The 23,346-nt window shown below is 39.6% G+C and overlaps 1 protein-coding gene across 9 annotated transcripts in view; it reads right to left on the bottom strand.

The window, feature by feature from the left end:
* The window catches only part of EXT2 (exostosin glycosyltransferase 2), a 156,285-nt gene that overhangs the window by 29,889 nt on the left and 103,050 nt on the right, over positions 1–23,346 (bottom strand). For all 9 annotated transcript variants that reach the window (XM_047426529.1, NM_001389630.1, NM_001178083.3 and 6 more), the window contains one exon: positions 15,115–15,281. In XM_047426529.1, the coding sequence (XP_047282485.1) occupies positions 15,115–15,281 (167 nt within the window). The remainder of the gene's footprint in view (positions 1–15,114; positions 15,282–23,346) is intronic.

The following is a 23,346-nucleotide window of genomic DNA, read 5'->3' as shown; positions in this document are numbered from 1 at the left end:
ACCCTAGGAACCAATTTTCATGCACCAAGAAATAAATATGATCGAGAGATGAGCTGTAAATATCACACTGATTAGTTTATCTTGCTTTCTAGAGACTTGTTTCACAGTTGTGACATTTCCAAGGTCTGGGACTACTCTGATCCTTCAAGTTTTCTTTCTCTTTATTCTCCCCAAATGTGGAATCACTATGTCTAATGCAATAGCAATCACCAACCACTGCCTGAAACTCACGATTTTGCAGGCAGTTGTACAATTTTGCAATGAATGGGTGCAGCTTCATATTCAGGAGAAATGATAGAGCTTTCCTCCGAAAGCTACATACACTGCCGTCTTGAGTGAACTGGGGAGTTCAGGCCTGGGGCTGCTCTGATTTACCCTGGCCCTGGGCCCAATCCTGCCCACACATCTCCTTGGAGCATCTCTATCACAATTAAGGCAGATAAACAGCCCATGAAGACAAATTCCCCACATCCCAAAACCATAAGCCAAATTCTGAAGCTCTGAATTCCTGAAGCAGCCAAAGCTCCCCTGTAATCAATCCCAATGAGACAGCAGGCAGCTTTTAAAACAATAACCCTCAAACATATGGATCCTTTCAGGGTTGGAATATCATTGCAGATATCTCATTTTGAACAGGGGGAGGGAAAGTACATATTCTTTAAACCATCAAATGTACCAACACCTCTTTAAAATAACGATCTCATATTATGAGCACTAGTTTGGAAGCAGAGATACGAAACCAGGTGGCCTCCATGGTGCTGCAGATAGGAAAGATCCTGGGGTGAGGTGAGGGTGCAGAACACACAGCGCTGGCCATGGAAAGGTCTGCAGGGCTCTTTCCTCACTAGGGCTGCTTGGCACATACTAAAACCAATGGAATGGGCTTATTTGGAATGGGGGTCTTCGAGGAGGAGAGACCCTCAGATGGGCAGATGTGCCAGCAAGCAGTATGTGCCCTCCTCTGTGGGGCAGGGAGGCTGCTAGTTCTACATTGGATGTTTCATTAATGGCTATATAAACAAATTCTGAACTTGTTTTAATTTGCTCAGTGGGGAAGAAAAAAGTGCCACTCTCTTGTAATTCCCAACTAGGTGCTTTTTTTCAATGATCAGATGTTATTTCAATGTTCAGCAAACATATTTGATTTCCTTCCCTTAACATTTGTTTGACTTGTTCTCCAATGGGGACTGGGTGCTTTAGAGAAGCTCTGAGAGGTCAGGCTTTACTGCGGCTTCCTTCAGCACCTCCCTGGGCTTCTGGCCCACTACTTGGGATCTTCTTTCAGCAGCACTTGCTGCAGCCGTGGCACACATGAACTATTTTCTCTCCAGGTCCCTGTGAGTCTTGGGGGTGTAAATCAATGCAAGCTGGAGATAGGACAGACCTAATAGATTATTTAGTTCTCCTACAGGCTGAAAAACAGGGAGCCTGAAGCAATGTGAAAAATACTCCAGGGAGATGATCCTCTAAGAAAGAATGACTCACCTCTGACCACAGTCTTCCATTTGTCTCTTTTGGGAAGCTCTAACTGTACCTGACAGGTGGGAACACTCACAGAAATGAGCTGTTTGTGGCCCATTCTCTTCTAAAGACAATAGTCTCTATAATGGCAACCCTTCAGGTACTTCCAAAAAGTGAAAAATGGAGGTAACAGACAGAGATATGCTCTTTTCAATACTGTACTGACATTATGGCCAGGCTAAGGAAAGGTACTCGGGGGAACTGTTGCTTACTCAGATATATACACAAGGCTCAAAGACAGCTCACACCCATCAACTTAAAGAACAGGGTACACAACAGGCCTAAAAAAATTATGGTTTTCTAAAAGCTCAACTTTGGCAAACTGGTCCTAGTTACACTGTAAAGCTTTAGTGTCAGACCTAGCACAAAAGTTGATCCAGTGCAGCTCTGGCAAGGTTTGACCTTGTGCACACCAAAACCAGGCCTGGCTCACTGTGAATTCCAGCACCAGCAACACACCAGCAGCCGTGCAAGCTGACTACTAGACTGGATCCACACTGCACTCTGGATACAGGCCACCATCCAGATAAGAGAAAGAAAGACTTTAATTCCTAATCTTCCCAGTCATCACTAGGTCAGACTTAGGCTCAACGATCTGAGTCACACAAGAGGTCAAGGAATGAAAATCTAAGGTGCTAGTTCCCACTGAAAGCTGAAATACTTTCAATAAGTATATTTATTGGAAGTGGATGCACTGCAGGTATGTACTTTGTTTTATGGTTCCTCTGTTAGGGATGCCCCCTTTTTTATCAGCCTCAGCTATGTAAGTAAGAACCGAGTTTCTCTCTGTCCAAGATGAACTCAAAGGGTGAGCCTTTCCTAGAACCCATCCATGGCAAGATGAGATAGGAGGTTCCATGTGCCATAAAGAAAAACCCTTCTGCAGAGACCCTCCTGGATTCCCAACAGACTGAGGCACATTTTCATATTTAAGATTCTGGAATGTAAATCTAGGGAGGTAAGCAGTTAATTTCTTATCAGAAGGATCATAAGCACAAGCCTGTGAGAAGCATGTCCAAGACTTGTTTTGCATTTTTATTTTTAATTATTTATTTTTTTGAGACAGGGTCTCACTTTGTTGCCCAGGCTGGAGTGCAGTGGCACGATCCTAGACTCAAGTGATTCTCCCACCTCACTCAGCCTCCTGAGTAGCTGGGACTACAGGTGAGCGCCACCACACTTGGTTAATTTTTTTTTTTTTAATTTAATTTTTAGTAGAGATGAGGTCTCACTATGTTGTTCAGGCTGGTCTTGAACTCCTGGCCTCAAGCCATTCTCTCACCTCAGGTTCCCAAAGTGTAGGAATTACAGGAATGGGTCACTGTGCTCAGTCATCTGCTAGTTTTTAAAGGAGGTTATGAAGTCTAATTCTAGGATATGTCATTTCTATTTTTCAATTGTTGTAGTGAGAAGAGAAAAAGTGGGATCATTTATTTAGAATTGCAGATTCTAGGCCGGGTGCAGTGGCTCACACCTGTAGGCCCAGCACTTTGGGAGGCCGAGGCGGGCAGATCATCTGAGGTCAGGAGTTTGAGACCAGCCTGGCCAACATGGTGAAAACCCCATCTCTAGTAAAAATACAAAAAAATCAGCTGGGCATGGTGGCAGGTTCCTGTAATCCCAGCTACTCGGGAGGCTGGGGCAGGAGAATCACTTGAACCCAGGAGGCAGAGGTTGCAGTGAGCCAAGACTGTGCCACTGCATTCCAGCCTGGACAACAGAGTGAGACTCCATCTCAAAAAAAAAAAAAAAAAAAAAAGAATTGCAGATTCTATAATCTCTTACTCTCCTTGAATACACATATAGATAGCCATAAGTTTTACTAATTCTGTTTAAAATATAAACGTTATACAGCATCTCAGCTCTGGAATTCTCCAATTAGTGAGGCCCCCTCATCACTAATTAAATCTGAGCTATGGAGTAAGCTGGTCTTTTCCTTCTCCTTGGTTCTTCAATCCATTCAAACACTAAGTCTATAGATTTTCCACTAGCACAATCTCCAGTCTCTGCAACCTCTAAGTCATCTTGTGATCTGATGGCTTTTACCATATACTTCTCTAAAAACCTACAACACCTCTTTTCTGCCTGTCACATTAAACTTTTCAGTTGACCTCTCAGCCTGCACCTCCGCTGGCCCTCTATTACCCTAAGCAGCCTAGCTTCCACTGCTCACCAAAACAAAATTCCTACTCTGCCACACCGCTATGATGATGGGTCCCCTGTACTACCACACACACCAAGCTCATTCTCCTTTGGTGTCTTTCTTCTTGGTGCTTCCTGCATCAGGAAACCCCACTCAAAGATGGTTTTATGTTCTCATGAAAAAACTGGGGCATTCCATGCTATTTTGCGGTCTTCCATGGTTCTTTGAGAGTATGTACTTGTTATTACCTTAGGAAGTTGTGAACAAAGTAATACAAATAAATTCTCACAATGTATTAGCACTCAGGAGGTTTTACCAGTGCTACCACCTACAAGATGCCCAGGTTGTAAAAGGGAGAGCATCAATATTTTGTGTGCCTAACAACACACAGTTGCTCTGGTGAACTCGTATTCTCACATGAATAGGAATTCATTCACTGACTTTATAATGAATATTCTTAGCCAAGAGCATTTCACATCTCTCAGGTGAAAATGTTCAACACTTAAGTGCTACTAGTAATTTTTATGGTTGGAAATGAGGATCAAAGAATGAAAGAAAAAATAAATTCACAGATTCATACATTCAGCCAAGTCTCCATGGCTCATTTTCTGCCACATGTTTTAAACTGTCTCTCTCAAAGATGGAGGAGGGGAGGAGGAATAAGTTGCTTTTTATTTCCCAGCTCTCAGATCTGAAATAAAAGCAGACAGACTTGGAAAAAAAAAATCAAACATTCAAGTAACACTATACACTGCTACTGTTCCCCTAGGAGTCCCTCGCAAATGAGTATCAAGAACTCAATAGATACTTTCCTAGTAAAATACATAAACAGATAAATAAATTATCCCAGGCTGAAAAGAATTTCCACATCTGGTAGCTCACTAGAGCTTGTCAAACAAGTCAGAAACACACAGGGCCAGAGAAGATCATTCCTAGCTCCTGATTTCAGGGCTGGAGAGAGAATGGAACATTTCCCAAAGCGCTTTGCCTTCCAATAGGAAATACGACCCATATAAACACACAAATAACCCCTCTGTTTTCTTCCAATTAAATAAATAATGATACCCGGTATTCGGTCCAAATGTCTGTGTGCTCAAGTCACAGACACTGGAAGAAAACAGGCTTTCCTACATGGTCTAGCCTTTCATTCCCAAGAACTTGCTATGGTGTGCCTTTAAGGATTATATTCAATGTACATTTAACACCCCAAAGAAGTAACTTAACCTCTGTGCACTTCAGTTTTCTCAGCAATAAAGCCTGAAGTGACAGGATGATCCTAAGATCTTCACATTCTGACACTGTGTTTCTTTTAAACAGAGCTTTCTGACTGGGGTGCTATGAATGGGTAATGCTCATGTAAAGAGCTAATCCTCACCCATCAGCAGTGAGGCCTCGGGTGGGTCACATCTAGTGTGCCGCAGCCTTGTTTGTGTATCCCAGTATAGTGTATTGGCATCATCTATTTGTGCAATGATTTGACAAAGGATGGAGAAAGGACTGTTGTGGCTCTAATAACTTTCTCCTGGAGAGTGATTCTAGAGTGCACTATCAATTTTCAAGCTAATATCCAGGTAGATCTCCCTCATCATTTATCTTACATCTCTTCCCTCTTACACTAGGCCCAAGTTTCTCTCATAGCTCTCGGAAGTGCAATCTGTGAACTGGCCTTTAATCACTGCTTTATGTTCCTTTAGCAAGACCTGGAGCCAGTTGCTTTAAAATGGTCTCTGTAAATCAATTCTTCCAACCCTTTAACATAAGCACTGCCTTCGGATGCCTTTGCATTTGTGAAAAACATGCTGGAAGTCTAGGGCTTGAATCTGCACGTTATTCCTCAGTACAGGCATCATTAGAATCCTGAACGAAATAAGATCTGGTTCACCATATTCGGCTCTCTCTCCTCCATTAAAATAACTTCTTGTTTTCTTTCTTCAATTTCAACATGCTGTTGGCTATCACCTGCAAATATACCCTTATCTTAACACATGCAATCTCTCTGTGTTCCGCAAGAAAGTGAAGGAATCTGACATTTTTTATGCATTGAAGTTTGGTACTTTTCCATACGGAATCACACCTTACAGATCTGCCTGTACTTCTGATGGCTTAGAATCATTACAACCAAAGGGATCTCAGGAAGTCACTTGGTCTATTCTTCTGCATCCAAGCAGACCTAGTAAAACCACTCTAAATGCTGGGGGATTGCTGGCTTCCTTCTCTTAAAAATTCCCAAATGGGGCCGGGCGCGGTGGCTCACGCCTGTAATCCCAGCACTTTGGGAGACCGAGGCGGGTGGATCATGAGGTCAGGAGATCGAGACCATCCTGGCTAACAAGGTGAAACCCCGTCTCTACTAAAAATACAAAAAATTAGCCGGGCGCGGTGGCGGGCGCCTGTAGTCCCAGCTACTCGGGAGGTTGAGGCAGGAGAATGGCGTGAACCCGGGAAGCGGAGCTTGCAGTGAGCCGAGATTGCGCCACTGCAGTCCGCAGTCCGACCTGGGCGACAGAGCGAGACTCCGTCTCAAAAAAAAAAAAAAAAAAAAAATTCCCAAATGGAAGACTCCTCTCTCTCCAGGCCTCTTAAAAATTCTTTGGGGCAACAGCTAAAAAGGTCTGCTGCATGATTTCTCTTTGATTCTCATATAGTAAATACTGTATTTAAACCATTTTTAATTTTAAGTAGGATAATGAATTTAACTATTACAGAAATGACAAAGGCTACAGAAAAAAGAAGAAATAGAGATGCTTATTTCAGAGAACAAGCAAGGGGATATTTTGATTATGCTAAAGGTGCTGAGGTAGCTAGACTTACCTAACTGGCCTAGTAAGAACATTAAATCCACAGGTGCATATGCGCCCTCTTTTTAATCACACACAGAACATTTACCAAAATAGACCTTTTATGGGGCCATATAGTTTCAATAAATTCTAAAATAATAAAATCGTAGAGTATATTTTCTGACCACAGTAGAATCAAACCAGAAATCCATAAAAAAACTATTAACTTAAAAATCTGACAAAAGTAAGCAATGTACTTTTATATAAATATGTGTCAAAGAAGATAATACAATGGAAATCAGAAAATATTTTGAGCTTAAAGACAATAGAAATATGACACATCAAAATCTGGAAATGCACCTAAGGCAGCAATTGAAGAGTAATTTATAGCTTTATATGCATATATTAGAAAAACAAATATTGAAATCAATGACCTGATCTATCAAGTCAAAAGGCTAGAAAACAACAGCAACTTAAATTCATCAAAGGAGAGAAAGAAATTAATCAAGAAAGGAGTAGTAATTAAATACAAAAAAAGCACAACAGAAAAATCAACAAAACTCAAAAGTTGAGGCCAGGTGCAGTGGCTCATGCCTGTAACCCCAGTGCTTTGGGAGGCCGAGGCAGGAGGATTGCTTGAAACCAGGAGTTCAAGATCAGCCCACAACAACATAGCAGGAGCTTGTCTACCGCCCCCACCCCCCGCCAAAAAATAAAATTAGCCATAGTGGGACAATTCTGTAGTCCTAGCAACTGGGGAGACTGAGGTGGGAGAATCACTTGAGCCCAGGAATTTGAAGTTACAGTTAGCTACAATTGCACCTCTGCACACCAGCCTGGGTGACAGAGTGAGACCCTCTGTCTTTAAAAAAAAAAAAAAAGTCAATTCTTTGAAAAGATTATGGATAAACCTCCAACAAGATTCATCATGAAAGACATAAAACAAAAATTGCCAGTATCAGGAATGAAAAAGAGTACATCATTCCAAATCTTACAGGCTTTAAACAACAAGAGAATATTACGAATGACTTTATACCAATACATTTTGTAATTTAGATAAAATGAACAAATTCCCTGGAAAATACAATTTATCAAAACCAACACAAGAAGGAAATCTGAATTGTATTAGAGACATTAAAGAAATTGGGTCTGTAGTAAATATGCAAGACTGCTGGTTGGGAACGAAGGGAACATGGAATGGATAGAAGAAAAAAGTTACGGCCGGGCATGGTGGCTCACGCTTGTAGTCCCAGCACTTTGGGAGGCTGAGGCGGGCGGATCACGAGGTCAGGAGATCGAGACCATGCTGGCTATCACGGTTAAACCCCGTCTCTACTAAAAATACAAAAAATTAGCCGGGCGTGGTGGTGGGCGCCTGTAGTCCCAGCTACTCGGAGAGGCTGAGGCAGAAGAATGGCGTGAACCCGGGAGGCGGAGCTTGCAGTGAGCCGAGATTGCGCCACTGCACTACAGCCTGGGCGACAGAGAGACTCCGTCTCAAAAAAAAAGAAGAAGAAGAAGAAGAAAGTTACAAATATCACCTATGGTCTGGAGATCAAGCAACAGAAGCAAAGAATGTGGCACCTATGCATATTTTCTCCTTTCCTTATGTATATATATTTGGATATATAAACCAGTTTATTTTTCCTCTTTTCTAATTACTATTTGAAATAAGAAGTATTGCTACAATTTATTCAGGTTACACAATTTATGTAAATTTATACTATTTATTCTTTGGATGTTGGTGGTTGGTTCAGCTTCTTGAGTCTGTACATTTATGTCTCTTGCTAATTTGGGACGTTTTTAGCCATTATTTCTTCAAATATTTCTTCAGTCCCACATTCTTTCTCTTCTTCTAAAATTCTAATGACACAAATATTATATCTTTTGTGATTGTCCCACAAGTCTCTGAAGCTCTGTTCATTTTTCGCCAATCTATTTCTTCTCTGTTGTTCACACTGGAGAATTCCTATTGATTTATCTTCAAGTTCTCCAGTTTTTTCTTGTTATCTCCATTCTCCTATTGAGCCCATCCAGTGAGTTTTCAATTTTAGGTATTGTAATCAGTTTTGAAATTTCCATTTAGCTCTTCTTTATATCTTCTGTCTTTTTACTGAAACTTTCTGTTTTCCATTTGTTTTGACAGTAGTCATAATTGCTTATTAGAGGCTTTTTTTGTGATAACCTTTTAAAAATCTTTACCAGATAATTCTAACATCTGTGTCACCTTGTTGGCGTCTGTTAATTATCTTTTCTCATTGAAGTTGCAATTTGCCTGGTTTCTGGTATGATGAGTAATTTTGGAACATTCTGAGTATTGCTATGAGATGCTGGATCTGTACACTTTCTCTGTTGGTCTGTTTTCTACTTCACTAATTTAGCATTTAACTAATTTAGCTTTCTTCCTTCTACTTGCTTTGAGTTTAATTTACTCTTCTTTTTCTAGGTTCTTAAGATGGAATGAACTTTTGGTCACTGCTTTTAGACTTTTCTTCTTTTTATAATATAAGCATTTAATGCTATAACTTTCCCATAAGCACTGCTTTAGCTGCATCCCACAATTTTTTTTTCAAGTTTTGAAATAGAGTTTACTTACAATAAAAACTATCAATTTTAAAGGTATAATTCATTGAGTGTTGACAAGTGTATATAATGATATAACCACCACCATATCATAATATAAAACATTTCCATCACCTGAAAAGCTCCTTCTTGCTTTTTTGTGGTCAATCCCATCCCCCAGGCCTGGCAATGTAGTTTTTTCTACTCTAGAATTTCATATACACGGAGTCATACAGTCAGTAGCCTCCTACATCTGACTTTGTTCACTTAGCATAACACTTCTGAGATTTATTCATGTTGCTGCATGTATCCATTTCTTTCTTTCTATTGCTGTGTAGTACTCCCCTGTATAGATACTCCACATTCTGTTTATCCATTACCAGCTGATGTTTCTAGTTTAGGGATCTTATAAGTCTTTATGCAGACATATGTCTGCACATATATATTTCTTTTGGAAGCTGGGTCATATAAAAAATGTTCTATATGCCGAACTGTTTTCTAAATTGGTTGTACCAGTTCACATTTTCACCAGTAATGTATGAGTTCAAGTTGCTCCACAGCCTCACCAACACTCAGTATTGTCATTCTTTTTAATTTTACTTATAGCCATTCTAGTGGAGATATAGTGGTAACTCAATGTGCTTTTATTTTAAAACTGTTGTAGTGACTATGATGTTGAGGACTTTTTTTGTGTGTCATCTTGTACCTCTATATCATCCTGTATTTATTTATTTATTTATTTATTTATTTATTTATTTATTTATTTATTTATATTTTTATTTTTTTAAGACGGAGTCTCTCACTGTCGCCCGGGCTGTAGTGCAATGGTGCGATCTTGGCTCACGGCAACCTCTGCCTCCCAGATTCATGTGATTCTCCTGCCTCAGCCTCCTGAGTAGCTGGGATTACAGGCTCATATCACCATACCCGGCTAATTTTTTGTATTTTTAGTGGAGATGGGGTTTCATCACGTTGGCCAGACTGGTCTCAAATTCCTGACCTCGTGATCCGCTTGACTCAGCCTCCCAAAGTGCTGGGATTACAGGTGTGAGCCACTGCGCCCAGCCTATACCATCTTTTAAAAAATGTTTCAAGCAGTAATTTTTGCTCAGTCTACCTTTCCCCCTCTGTTTAATCCTATTCTCTTTCAGCTTTTAAAAAATGTTATTCTTATTGACAAGTAATAATTGTATACATTTGTGGGGTACAATGTGATAGCTCCATAAACATTTACATTGTAGAAGAGCAAATCAGACTAATCCATCACCTTGCATACTTATTTCTTTGTGGTGGAAACATTTAAAATCCACTCTTCTAGCAATATTGAAATATAACATATGTTATTATTAACTATAGCCACCTTACTGTGAATAGATCACCAGAACTATTCCTCCTGTCTAACTGAAACTTTATACCTTTTGACCAATATTTCCCCTTTACCTGCCTTTCTCTCCAACCTCTGGTAACCACCATTCTACTCTCTACTTCTATGAGATCAGACTTTTAGATTCTACATTTAGTGAGATAATACAATGTTTGTCTTTTTGTGCCTGCCCTCTAGATAGCATAATGTCCTCTAGATTCATCCACGTTGTCACAAATGACAAAATTTCATTCTTTTTTCAAGCTGAATAGTATTCCATTGTGCATATGCATCACATTTTCTTTATCCACTCATCTGTTTATGGATACTTAGGTTGATTCCATATCTTGGCTATTATGAACAATGCTGTAATGAATATGAGAGTGCAGCTATCTCTTCAATATACTGATTTCAATTCCTTTGGACATATACCCACAAGTGGGGTTGCTGGATCATATGGCAGTTCTACTTTTAGTTTTTTGAGGAACCTCCATGCTCTTTTCCAAAATGGCTGTATCAATTTACATTCCCACTGACAGTGTACAAGGCCATACATGTGTGGTCCATTTCTAAACTCTTTATTCTGTTTCATTGTCCTATATATCTAAATTTATACCAATACCACCACGTCTTGATTACCGTAGCTTTATAGCAAGTTTGAAAATAAGGAGTGTAAGTCCTGCAACTTTGTTCTTCTTTTAAAAAATTGCTTTGACTTTTTCAGGTCTGATGTGTTTCCATTTCAGTTTTAGCTTGTCAATTTCAATAACAAAAAGACTTCTGGGATTTTGACTGTATTGTTTTGAATCTATACAATTTGGGAAGAATTTACATGGTAACAATACTGAGTCTTTGGATCCACAAGCATGGTATATCTTTCCAATTATGAAGTTGTTCTTCAATTTCTCTCGGCAACATTTTTTAGGTTTCACTAAACATATCTGGCACACATTTTGTTGTATTTTTCAAGTATTTCAGTTTTTATGCTACTGCTAGAGTATAAGTAACATTCCTTGTCCTTGTGGCTTTTTGGAAATATAGTTGATATACAATAAATAATTTATTTAAAGTGTATAATTTGACATGTTTTGGCATCTGTATACACCAGTAAAACCATTACCCCAATTAAAATAATGAACATATCCATTTCCCCTAAAAGTTTTTTGTACCCCTCTGTTATTCGTCCCTCCTGCCCTTTACAGCCTGACCCTCCCCACTTACCTTCCAGGCAACCACTGATCTTTCTATCTCTAGGGTTAGTTTGTACTTTCCAGAATTTTATATATATGGAATCATAAAGTATGTTCTCTTTTTCATCCTGCTTCATTAACTTAGCATAATTACTTTGAAAACTGTCCATGTTGTTGCATGTATCAATAGTTACTTCTTACTTATTACTGAGCCATATTCTACTCTATGGATGTATCACAATGTTTATCCAGTTAACTGTTGATAGACATTGTTTTATTTTCTCCAATTTTTGCCTATTACAAATAAAAGCTGCTTTGAATGTTAGCGTACAAATATTTGTGCAGACTTTTGTTGTCATTTCTCTAGGGTAAATCCCCATGGGAAGAATGGCTGGTCATATGGTAGATGTATGTTTAACATTTTAAACTCCAAACTGCTTTCCAAAATGGATGTAACCAGATTATGGATCACAGTAAAGTGGAAGGGCATACAGGCCAGAATAATCTTTTCTATATCTTTCATACGTGTGTTGGTAAGGGAGATTTATTCATTCATCAAATGTTACTGAATTAACTACTGAATGCAATGAACTGGGTTAGGCACAGAGGGCATAGCAATGAATAAGACAGCCATGGTTCCTGCCCTTTGGTGCTTACATTCTAGAAGGAAAAAAAGACACTATAACAACACAGTTCACAATTATTTGCTCACAAAGAGGTACAGAGTACTCTGAACCCAACCTGACTGAGGATTCTCTGAAAGCTTCTTTGAGACAGCAACAGCCAAGCTGAGTGTTGAAGGATGAGTAGAGATTAACAAGACAGATATAATCCCAAGGGACTGTGATAACACCACAAAATAGTAGTTCTGGGATCCAATATAACTCCCCTAGGATGCAAATATTTACTTATTTATTCCCTTAATCAATCAAGCCTGCTCCCAATTTCTGCATGAAAATACTAGGCTTTGGGATAAAAAGCAGGATTTAGGAGCATCATGATCTTCTGTCTCTTGATTCAACACTAAACTGAGTCCCTTCTTCAAGATAGAAATGTTCCTTCTGAATAATGAAAACAACAATCTCGTTCATGAATCATAGTAGAATCATGAATGGAATAATGAAAATAGCAGTAGTCATAATGATAACAGCAGCAGCAGCTAACATGGCATCTGTAAAGTGTAAAATCTACTGTCTATCACACAGGAAGTGTACTTACTGCCTTTTGGTGCTTACATTCTAAAAGGAAAAAAAAGGCAACAAACAACACAGTTCACCATTATTTGCTCACAAAGAGGTACAGAGTGCTCTGAACCCAACCTAGACTGGGGAATCCCACTTTCCATGTGGGAGGCACTATGTAATTTCATCCAATGCAAATAATAACCTCATGAAGTAGATATTGTCATTACCATTTTATGTAAGAATGAACTATGATCCAGAGAGATTAAATAACCTGTCAATCATCATAAATTGGTCAGTGATAGAGCAGGAATTTGGGCACGGAGGCCCTAAAGCACCAATGGTAGGGGTACCTAAAAAATGTATTTGTTTGTCTTAGAGTCAAAATAATTTTGTGACAGGCAAAAGATATGCTGATGGCTGTAAGTACTACTTCTGAGGACCACTGATCTCTGGCAAATGTCACTCACAGTAAAATCCTCAGGGAAGGCAGCACAGTGTCAGAAAAATTCGGATTTAAATCCCAATTCTTCCACTTATTAGCTATGTGACTATAAGCAAGTTATCTAACCTTACTTAGTCTCAGCACAGAATAAGAAAAACATACCTGCTTTGCAGGCCTGGGCCAAGAGCATAAGTAATGTATGGAAACACTCGGGACGTTGACAGAAACATAGTAAGTTGTATATACAAGGTTGTTATCAAAGTTGTTCCTTCCATAGCATCTGGATATTCTGACTAACAGAGATAAGAAAGCTTCCTGATTTCACTCTTCTAATGATTACTTCTTTAGAGGTAATATGGAATCAAACACAAGTAATCAGAGGAAAGAGGTAAAGATTCGAGCTCAGTCCCTTTAAGTGCTGCAAAACTTCCTCGCATTAACATAGTCTTAGTTGCTTAAAACAAACTCAGGGTTGAAAGAAATCATAGAAATACATTTAGCCCACCCTTCTTTTAGTAGTCTTCCTTTAGACCAACTGAAAATACTTAAGAGACAGCCCTCTGTCCATCTTGGTCATGTCGTTTTGAACATTCCTTTTTTCCACCTCTCTTTTGCCACAAAAATAAACACATGGGTAGCATTTGAAGCCATTACATGCAATGAAGAGAGAAATCACTCGCAAAAAAAAAAAAATTAGTCTTTTTGCCATTACTTGGCTAGAAAAACAAGTAGGCAATTTGTTTTAAAAATAGGAATAATAGTATACTAAATATCATCCAACACCCTAGACACTGTGCTGTAAAAGTCATCTCCTATGAATAAAAATAAATCCAAAAAGATGAATGTATGTTTTATTAGCTACTCTCATGCCTTTCATTGGCCAATAACAACATCATCCAGGGCATCGCACATCAATCTATTAATCTATTTCATAACAATTTCTTTTACACTCAAATGAAGCTACATTTTTTTTAAAAACCTAGGAAAACTTGAGCTTTTAATTTTTAGTGGTGGCGATAGTGTCGGGGGGGAGGGGATTCCTTTTCCTTGTCCTTAAAATCCACCTTCAATTTAAGTGTTTAAAAATGTATTTCTATAATAAATACATGTACTAAATATAGCTTCATTTTTAAAAATTTATGATTTAAGAACCCCAAATTCAACAAATCCTAAGTTAGCTAAAGAAAATGGTTACCTTGCTCCCCTTTCCCCTGAGCCAGCTATAGCTAAATGACTTGAACACTCTGCATGCTTAAGTCTGATACCACTTTTACCCGCAGCCGCAGGCCTCCGCCTGTTGTCATCATGCATCTCACGTACACCCTGACAGGGCCCATCAATTCCTATTGCTTTTCACCAGGCCTGGACTCTGGCACTTTCCCCTGGGGAGACCTTTACTGGTCTCCATACTTAACCCTTGAACCCAGCCTAATCCATCAGCCTCATTGAATAAACGGTGATAGGGAATGTTTCTCCCTAAAGACAGGCAGCCAGCCTCTCCACTTAAAACTCAGAAAGAAAGCCATCAACAGGGTCTGCTTTGTTTGTCAGTGTCGCCAGCTTCTTCACTTATTGATGTTTTTATTGTTGCAGCGCCTAGCTGCTTGAGTCAAGGGAAGTGGTATTCAAGGAGACATCAATTAAGTGCTTGTTAAATGCTATAGATGCTCTTTTGAAATTGTCCCCTGGGACTCTCCTTGGGAGTTCCCAAAACCAGTGGAGGGCACAGTTGCCATTTTGGAATAGGGTTTCTCCAGTGCTTCAAAGAACAGCTTCATAACCCACACTCTTACGCACACCTTTTGGACTCTACTGGAAGATTTTAGAAACTCTGACTTTTAAGAAGGAAATATAATACTCTTTTTTAGAAAAGACAAGCAGTCATAGGAAGTAATATTAAACATATAAACACACTGTGTAAAACCTCCTTACCTCATAACCAAATTGCAGCTCGTCAGAGGTCAGCATAATGATATCATCATCAATGGCCAGAACAGCTTCTGTCTCGATTTCATCATAAGGGAAGAAACGGTTACTTAACTTGTTTTCAGCAGTCCTCACAACTTTTAATGGAACCCGGATTTTGGGCCAGAGAGAATCTGGAAAAAGAGAAAAGGTATTTACTATTCTCCTAACTTTTGTGAGGAGATAAAGTAGTAAAAGCATGACATCACAAATGAGATGGGAGAATCAGCTTGTATCCACGGCTCTCATCAAATCCAAAGGTAGAACTGTGTCAGGGGAGATTCTCACAGATGCATCTTTGTTATAATAAAAAATATATATACTGCACGTACACATATATACAACATATATACACACATACTATATACATACATATTTATCCTCTCTAAATCCTTGTAACACTACTAATTCTCAATACTGTCCTAACTAGAATGAACAAATTGGCTTCAATTCACAATTGAGAGGCAGAGAAGCAAAACGACTCGACCAAGGTCACAATGACAGGAAGAGAAATAAGGTCTGCATAACCTCATTCTCAGGATCAAGACTTTAATATCAGAACTCTACCCACCTCTGGTAAATACTCTGCAAAATACTTTCAGATAAGTATATCCTAGCTGAAAACTTGCCTGCAGCAGTGCTAGGAAATATAGTGCATGTGCCGAAGGTCCCCGACGTGCCCACCTCCATCATGCAGTCAAACAGCTTTTGGTGCCGCTAAAATCCACCACTCATCAAAGTATGTTTTATTGAATGAGTGTAGCTTCCTTAACTCAGCACTTTATCCCCTCCCCTCAACTCACTAGGTTTGGTTTCTCATCATGACCAATTTACAAAGTAAATATCAAATTTCTAGGTCCAATTATGTGGGATTTTCTAGTATACTGAAGAAACACCAACCCATGACGTGCCTTACATTTTTTTCCCATTCTACTTTATGAAATAACTGGGTAATTTAACCACAGGTTCTTTGTTTTAAAATGTTGCATTTAGCATAGCATGAAATTCATACTTCTTTGGTACAGTACCCATGTCCATAGATCTCAGAGGGCAGTTTGTTCTTTACACATTTGTCAAATGAGAATAGGAAAGCTAGGTATCATACTGCTTTCAAAAAGTCCATCATGTAATTGTAGAAAAATCTCATTTCTGTGGGTCTTGAAGTCCCAAAGCGCTCCTGGCCACTCCAAAGTCACCATACTGAAGAAGAAGTATGATAGAGGGAAAGTCAGTAGGAGAAAAGCTGCCTTAACTGACTGCAGATAAAATGTTTTACTTCTGCATAGTTGTAATATAACTGGTTGTAGAACACATTGTTGGGGGCACTCCCAGGGTCTTGGAAGAGGCCTGTGCAAGTGAGAGGCCCTGTATTCACGGTCTTAAAATAAACCTGTGGCACAGAGCCTAAAAGAGAATGGTCAGCTCCAAAAAGTGTGTTTGGGGAAGGGCTGAATCCGTGACCAAAGAAATAACCCTATAGGCCACTGCCTTTTCATCAATATCAACAGTTATAGTTTCATTCTTGGCACATAATCGAAAAATATCTTTGGAATAATGCATGAACACATGGCTGAAAGACTGGAGGCCTGGGTTCTGCATTATCTATGGGATCTTAAGCAAGTCCATTCTTCTCAGCATAAGAATAAGTAGAGGGAAGGGGAGAAAGGGAACTTTGTTAAGCAACTAATATATGCCAGATGCTTTACAGATGCACTGTAATTCATTCAATCCTCCTGACAACCTTATGAGGCAGGAATTATTTACAAACTAGTATTTTCATGGCTCAGAGAGGTTAATTAACTTGCCCAGTGATACACAGAAAATAAATGATAAGGCTAGTATTTGAACCTAAGTCTGTTTAGCATTAAAAGACCAAAAAGGACCTGCAGCTTCAGAATCCCATGTTTCTCTGGATCTGGAACAAAACTAGTAAGGTTCAATCACTTTCTCCAGCAATCATCCTTATTCTTGCTTGATCCCCACTCCCTATTTCAGATAAATAAAATCCCTGTCATACATCTACCATTCCCAAATCCTTATAAAATATGAATACATTATAACAGTCATCCTCAAACTTTTTGGCACCAGGGACCAGTTTTGTGGAAGAAAAATTTTCCATGACTGTAGGGGAAGGAGGGGCGGGGATGGTTTTAGGATGAAACTACTCCACCTCAGATCATCCGGCATTAGATTCTCGTAAGGGGCGTGCAACCTAGATCCCTTGCATGAGTAGTTCACAACAGGCTTCTCGCTTGAGTGAGAATCTAATGCTGCCACTGATCTGATAGGAGGCGGAACTCAGGTGGTACCCACCACTCACCTCCTGCTGTGCAGCTTGGTTCCTAACAGGCCACAGATGGCTACGGGTTCATGGCCCAGGGTTGGGGACCCCGCCCTGTAACATCTAAAATGAAGGAGGTTATAGCCCTACCTACCAGACCGGTGGTTTTCAAAATTTTTGGTCTCAGAATCCCTTCATGCTCTTAAAAATTACTGAAAATCCCAAAGAGATTTTGTTTATATAGGATACACACACACACACACAAACACATTGTCTATTTACTGTATTAAAAATTAAAACTGAGGAAATTTTAAAACATGAAAATATATGAGCACACATTCCATTAGCTGTGGGAAATGATGTCACTCATGACCTGTAGATTCTGGAGAACTCTACTGTACATTTGTGAGAGAATAAAAGAAGTGGGAAAGAGAAATAATGACTCAGAGTGATTATGAAAATAATTTCCATGTCCTGGATCTCCTGAAAGGATCTCAGGGATGCTCAGGGTACCCAGATTACACTCTGAAATCTGCTGAGTTAGACTCTGTTCAGATTTGGGTACCACAACATTAAAAGAAGTACCAACAAGCCCAGAAAATAGTTGAGAAGAAATAACAAGGACAGTGCAGGCATCTGTATCCAGGCTTTCTACAGAATGCTTAAAGAAACTAAGTGTGCCACTTATCACTTTATTGCCTCTCAGTTTCAACTGTAGTCATCATTGCCCTGTTAGTGATAGCTGAACTGGACCCTGTAAACATCTCTTCTTTGCCAACTGGCATGGCGTCACACTGTGTCAGTACAGGGCACTGAAGGGCCAGTGCAGCGCATGGGGGTGGCTTTCTTCCTGGTTCTGGTATGCCTTTTTTACTTCTTGCTCCAGTAGTGCCTGGCCAGCAGGCAGGCAGGCAGGCAGGCAGGGGCACTTGTCTCTAGCAAGTGTAAGTAGCACCTCTTCCCTGGGGCAGCTTCCCAGGAGGTTCTAGCACACCCCAACTGGCTTCCCAGTGAATTTAACAGCACCCCTCCAGGAAGCTTCCCAGCAAGTTATGTGGATGCCCCACCAGCAACTCAGCCACAATTCTCCCTGTGGGTAGTTCCAGGTGAGCTCCACTAAAGCCCTAGCCAGTTTCCCAGCAAGTTCAATAACACTCCTGGGGCAGATTTCTGTTGAATTCTGTGTGTATACGAGGGCATGACTGGGTTTCCTGCTTGTCAAGTTTGGCCTGTGGCACCTCAGTAAACTTTACTAATCCAGTGGATGTGATTAGTAAGGTGTGAATCTCAGATCTAGCTGGGGAAGGGGCTCTCCCAAGTTTATTTTCTGTAACCTTTAGAGTTCTCTTTACCCTGTAGTAGGCAAATCCTGTTACTAGTTAATAATTCTTTAGATTAAATTTTTCCTGTTCAAATTATCATGTGGTTTCTGTCTCCAGAATGAACCTTGACTAATATTCTTGGGATATCAGAAAGATTATCGAATGAAAAGGGAATTGTTCTCTATGGTCTCTAGAGTTAGAAGCATGACAAATGGAAGGGTAGAAGTTACAGGGAAACTGATTTAGACTTAAAATAGGTAAGAACTTCCTGATGGTATAAACTGTTCTAAGATGTGTTGCCTTCAGCAGCACAACATGCCCTTTTACTTCAAATGCACTAACTTAGGTCAGATTTCTACTTGACATCAGGTGGAAAACTAAACAAGATGCCTCTATGGCCTTAGGATTCCATGAGGCAGCAAAACATCACAGAAAGAACACAGTCTTTGGAAACAGCTTCAGATCCCAGGTCTACCACTTGCTTGTCATGTGACCTTGAACAAGTTAAACACTCTGAGCCTGCTTCTTCAACTATGAAGAAGGAATAACAATGACACCATCTTGACATGATTGACTGTGAGGGTGAATGGGAATGCATTTAGCAACACAGTGCCCAGCACACTGGAGGTAGTCACTAAAATGTCAGCCATGCTTTCCCTGGAAAGTCTGTGTCTACCTACAGAACCAGAGCATTTTTTGAACCCTAGGTAGCAGTGTCAAAGTGGTACAGTTGAGATCTGGTACATCACCCTGACAACCCAGTGGTATACCCCTGGCCCAGGCCTTCCATATCCACTTTGAGAGAAGCAAGATCCCTGCCATGAATCCTCTAAACTCTCACACACTAATAAAACAAAAGAACATGGAACTTTGGTCATGTTAATTCCACAAGGCAACAAGCAGCTCCTCTTTCCACTATGTAGAGAAACTAGGCTAGCTACTTTGATTAAGTATGAACGTACCTCTATACTGGATGGAATCTGGACTTACAATTGGCGAATGTGTATAGCATATTCAACCCATAGACAGCTTTCCGCACTGTTCATCTATATATGTCCAAAGAATTACTTGAGACCATGTCCACAAAGAACTAACTTGCCTCTGTAAAGTCTTTGAAGGGGAAGTTTTAGAGAACAATGAAGACCCAGGAGGATGATATGGGGTGCAGGTAGAAATATAGAATGAATCATGGCTTTTTAAGATACATGGTTACTTTTCCCTGTTGCAAGTTAGGTCTGAGTAGCCAAAAGTCGGCTTTGGCAAAAGGCATCTCCATTTCAGTGATCAGCTACCACCAGGCAGAACTCTAAATAGAATTCTCAGTTTCATGTTTTCCCTTTGTCAAATTAAATGGCCTCCATGAAAGAGAAGTACCATTCTCTCAGGCTTCTGACAGTATCCCTTTCGTGGAGGCCAGAAATGAGAGGGTAGCAATCAAAGAATAAGCATTAAAATTATATCCTGCCTTTAGATAATCCTGATATGGAATTTTGATTCTGGAAAGGTAACCTTTAAAAAAATTAGGACTGGAGCAGTAGAAGGAGAAGGGAGAATGAGGTAGGAAAGAAAAACATATGTGAAAAAGAAAAGAGGATTTTTCTTTCCCATTAGTTTTTTCAAAAAAATAGATTTACTTTTCTGTCTCTCTGAGTCCCTGACAAAGATCTAGTTCTTCTATATGATCCCAAATCAAAGAACTGACAACACATGATGATTTTCCTACAACTAAATGGTAATCTAAATAGACACAGAGGGGCTTAGTGCAAAGGGCATGAGCTTTGGATCTAGAAAGATCTGTGCTGATTTCTGACAAATTACTAATCTGAGTTTCATTTTTCTTATTTTTGTAAAATGGGAATAACAACAGTTTCCTTGCAGGTTTGTCCTAAGGTCTAGAGATAATAAGCATGTAGCACAGTTCCTGTTCCTAGGATTAAAAAAGTATACAATATGGTTATATCACTATCATCTTCACAAATGGATTCTTGTGAAGTCCTATGAACTTCACTTCTCTACTGATAACATGAAGAGGTCTAAACAGAAGAATATGGGGTGACCCCTAGAATGCAGACAGAAACTGTGTCATAGCTAGAAATCTTCAGGCCCAACTTCTATTGCTTAGCCTAAATGGGGTCTTTCTTCCTTACTCCTTTAAATTCTAAATGAAACAGCATGCCCTTGTATCTTATGTCTCATCCTGTGAACCTATAACAGACGAAATAGAAATGTCACCTTCCATTCATACAAAGTAGCCTGAAAAATACGATTTTTCAAATGCGTTGCAGAATTTATGAAAAACAAACAGCTGAGCCAGGTGACCTGATAACTTCACAGTATGAGCTTTAGTCCAGCTCAAAGGAGAAAAAGAACTCCTTGTGTTAAGGATTTCTTTTTTTAAGTATATTGATTAACGGTTTTCTCCATGTTGGATGCCAAGAGAAATGTGAGCAAAGACATTTTTCTCCAACTTGGCAAAGGTACTACAAAAATGGTCAGGTTGACTGAAGATGACCCCAAGTCCATCCTGCCAATCACTATCATAAATACAACCACAGATTCACAAAATAAATTATCAGATTATTTCCATACAAACCTTAAGCCCACTTCAGAATTGCCTGAGTTGCTGGTGTACAGCTGGTCTCATGACCCAACTCCCCGCAGTCCTAGAACTCGGCTCAAAAGGAAGGTGGCTGCTGGTTTTACTCCCCTGTTGACCATCCTGGGTTGCTGACATGCTCAGCCAACCCCACCCTGCCTGCTAAGGACTATGCAAACCACAGTCTGAAGCTGGGGGGCTCCTGATGTTAATTCAAATTTAAAACTAAAGTCAGTTAAAGGAAGAAAGGCAGTAGCCTGCCTTTTCTTCTGACAAAGCTCAAAATCAATGTGATGAAAGCTCACTGGAAATTTCAATTGCCTAGTCTAAGTATTTACTTAAACTTAAAACCCAGAAATTTGGACTTAAGTGTAACCAAAAGAAAAAAGTATTTGGTTGGGTTGGAGAATGAAAAAAAAAAAAAAGTGGGAAGGGGGGTAGATTTCTGCCTACACAAATCCTCCCAGCAGCAGACATGGTAACCACAATATTTATTTTAGTAAATGTAGAGAAAGCGAAAAACATCACTTTTGCCTCTAATATTTCAAAGACTTGGACTTGCTTTTTTTTTTTTTTATAATATATATGTTACTAATGCTGTACGTGAAAAATCAGATGCATTTGCTGGCATGCGGACCAGAGCTGACAGCCTCATTTACCAACTGAACAAACACCCCACAGAAGATTAAACATGGTTCATGTTCTCCCCAAACAACCACATCGCCAGAGCCAGAGCCCTGACCTAAAAACCACTGTTAGTAAAAAGCCAGTCCAGTCACTACACATGTCAAAATTAGGGCCTCATCAGTTAAGGGCTCTTTTTCCTCCCTAGAGTCAAAATCTTTTAAAAATAAACTAAAGTCTTGGTCATAAAATTAACCACTACATTTTAGCAGGGTCTTACCAAAAATTAAAACTGAACACCCAACTCCAAAATCTGGGCTCCTGCTACTGCCTTTAGTTGTGCCAGTGTAGAGGCTTAGATCAAGAAGGAAAAAAAAATGTATCCTTTCTCACAGTTTGCAATGATACCTTCCCCAAAGAAGTGACACAAATTCACAATAAATAACTCACCTTATGCCTAAAGTGGCTAACCAGGAGTAATAAGGAGAAGCCTCTTTTGCATTTAGCACTAGAATTTGCAACTCTGCCTTTCAGGCAGGATTGCAGGAGCAGGCTGAGAGTCTCTCTGAAAGCTGGTGGCCTTTCCATGCAGGAGCAAATACAGGCCTGTGACTACTGCAAGACACAACAGGCCACTCCAGACCCAATGAGAGGCCCAGCCTTCCTTCTGCAAACATAGCCCATCCTTTATAAACGAAGGGACTAATTAGCAATGCAATACCATCCAATTCACTTCACTCTGGAGAAAGGCAATTGGTATGAAGAAATCCAAGTCAACAATTTCCTTCTTTACATAGTTCCTTATAATTGTCTCTCTTTTCCTTCCTTTCTGTATTCTCATCCTCCCTTCTTAAATGATGCCCACATCTTCCTTTTTCTTTTACCCCTCCCTTTCCTTCTCCCTTATTAAGTATCAAACAAAACAAAAATCCAGAAAACTGGCCATGTTATAGTGTTGAGAAAGAGAAAACAAATCTTGGCATAGAAAGTTAATTTTTAAAAATCAGGGAATAATACAGGACCTTCATTTAAAATAGCTGTTTTATTTACTCAAACTGTGGCTCCCTAAATCTAAAAAGAAAGCATATGATTCTCTCAGAGAACAAACATCCCATGAAGTAAAGGAGAAACTAAAGAATTTTCTCAAGGCAAATTCTGATTTGCCTAACAGAGCCAGAAATATGGACTTCTTCCAGCCTAGACTATAGATCTACTACTGGCAATTTTCAAGGTTGACTTTCCCGACTTCAGTATATCCAATTAAAAGAGACTAGCCATAAAAAGTGCAGATACTACTGTCAGGCAATAAACTAGACCTTATCGGTGACAGTGGTGCACATTACTAACTTCAAACTCATTCATTCCTTGCTCTAATC

The sequence above is a fragment of the Homo sapiens genome, chromosome 11, assembly GCF_000001405.40.
Source record: "Homo sapiens chromosome 11, GRCh38.p14 Primary Assembly".
Lineage (NCBI taxonomy): Eukaryota > Metazoa > Chordata > Mammalia > Primates > Hominidae > Homo > Homo sapiens.
Note: the sequence above shows the minus strand (reverse complement) of the source record. Positions and strands in the feature narration are given on the sequence as shown.